This window comes from Homo sapiens, chromosome 5 (assembly GCF_000001405.40).
Source record: "Homo sapiens chromosome 5, GRCh38.p14 Primary Assembly".
Taxonomy (NCBI): domain Eukaryota; kingdom Metazoa; phylum Chordata; class Mammalia; order Primates; family Hominidae; genus Homo; species Homo sapiens.
In genome coordinates, this window is record NC_000005.10 from 136,080,271 (window position 1) to 136,082,165 (window position 1,895).

General features: G+C 47.0%; 1 non-coding gene across 1 annotated transcript; it reads right to left on the bottom strand.

Moving 5' to 3' along the window:
- On the bottom strand, positions 221 to 328 carry VTRNA2-1 (vault RNA 2-1). The gene has a single exon (NR_030583.3).

The following is a 1,895-nucleotide window of genomic DNA, read 5'->3' on the forward strand; positions in this document are numbered from 1 at the left end:
GTGTGTCTCGTGAACTGCACAAGCATTTTTTTGTCCCCATGCGTCCTACCTGGCAGTACAGGCTGGTCACGCACGCCCTGTAAGACCAGTGGCCAGCCTCCATACTTTCTGTCACACCTTCAAAGTGACACCAACTTATGTTATCAGCCTATTAATTTAGCAAAGTTAAAAGGGATAAAAAATAACAAAGCCTTCAGAGTGACAGATTATACCGAATTTATTGCATAAAAGGGTCAGTAAGCACCCGCGGGTCTCGAACCCCAGCACAGAGATGGACAGATAGAAAGTCCGGCATGAGGAGGTAACCGCTTGAGCTAACTCCGACCCGGGTAGGAGTGTGCGACTGAAACTTCTAAACCATAGAAGAGTGACGATGTGGAGAGGGACGGGCTGCATGTGCTCCCCGCCCCCGAGAGGCCTGCGTCATGCGGTCTCGCCCGCTCTGCGCCAGGCGTCCTGCTAACGTGTCCTGGAGGGACTCTCAGTTCCTCCCGCCCGCATCCTGCGCGGGAACCGTGGAAGGGGGCAAAATCCACCCACTGGAGGGGAGGCAGGAGGGTGCGGGGGGGCGTGTGGGCCGTCTACCTAGGTCCAGCAGCCAGGCTGCTGAGGAGTACCCCCGCCAAAGGCTTTTCGGGGTTCTCTCCAGCAGACGGGGGCAGCCTAAGGCCTCCATAAAATCTCCCCGAAGCAGCCTATGAACTTGCCAAAGGCAGGGGTTCTGTGGTTTCATTTCTTGCCAGGTCCTGGGCTGGACCCTGGAGACGGAGTTCATCATCAGCAAATCCTCTTTGGGTGGGGAGTTGAATGAATTAATGAGTGATTAGCAGGGCACTAGGGCCCAGGAGTAAGCCCAGAATTGAGATCACAGGCTGAAGATTTAAAAGCTTCATAGCTCAAGAGAAACGCTCTGTTAAGGCTGAAGGAGAATAAATCATTCCTCTTTTTCCCCAACCCATCCCCTTGTCTACACTACTTTTCTTTTGAAAGATTCAGGAGCTGGATGGAGAAAATTGCTAACAAAGAAAATGGGACCTTCAGAATATTAATAATGTCCCTGTTTGTTGAGCACACACACACCATGTGCCACGCTCTGGGTTAAACATTTACCTCATTTCATGGCCGGAACAACTCTGAGATCCATAATGTTGCCCCCATTTTGCAAATGAATAAACTGAGAATCAGTGGTGGTAAGTAACTGAAATGTTAGGAATTAACAAAAAGTGACATATTCAGGAACAGAACCAAAGTTTGAACTCTCAAGAAAGAGTTGCCTGTAGTGTATGTCTGTCTGCCTGTCTTGCTTAAAAGTATCTCAAACAACTGGTAAGCTGCACTAGACAGGGATCTTCCATTCTGTTCTTTGCTGTCTCCCTATATCCTCCTCAGTTCCTAGCCTGGTCCACAGTAGACACTCAATAAACATTTAAGTGAGTGAGTGACTGGGGATAGTAGGACCCCATTATACTAGAAACTGCGCTGTCCCAACCTGGGTTTGAATCCAGCTTCCCCTCTTCCTAGCTGTGTAGCTTTAAACTTTTTAATTGTTTTTCATATTCATTTTGTATTAAACAAAAACCACGAGTACAGTAAAAATTAAAACAATAAAGGTAGTGAAAGCCCACCACCCTTGACCTAACTGCAGCTTCCAATCCAGATCTCTCCCCAGAGGTAACCACTGTTTTTTAAAATTTTGCTGTGTCTCCTTCTAGTCCTCTTTCTATTATATAAAGATAATTAAAAATATATAGCTTTATTTGGGTTATGGCTGTGTTTTGATATGAAGGACTGCACTGTACACATTGTTCTGCACCTGCTTTGTGGGAAATTCCACAGCATGCCTGGGAGGTCCCTCATTATTTATAATGGCTCCCCAAGAGTGCATGAAGCATGAT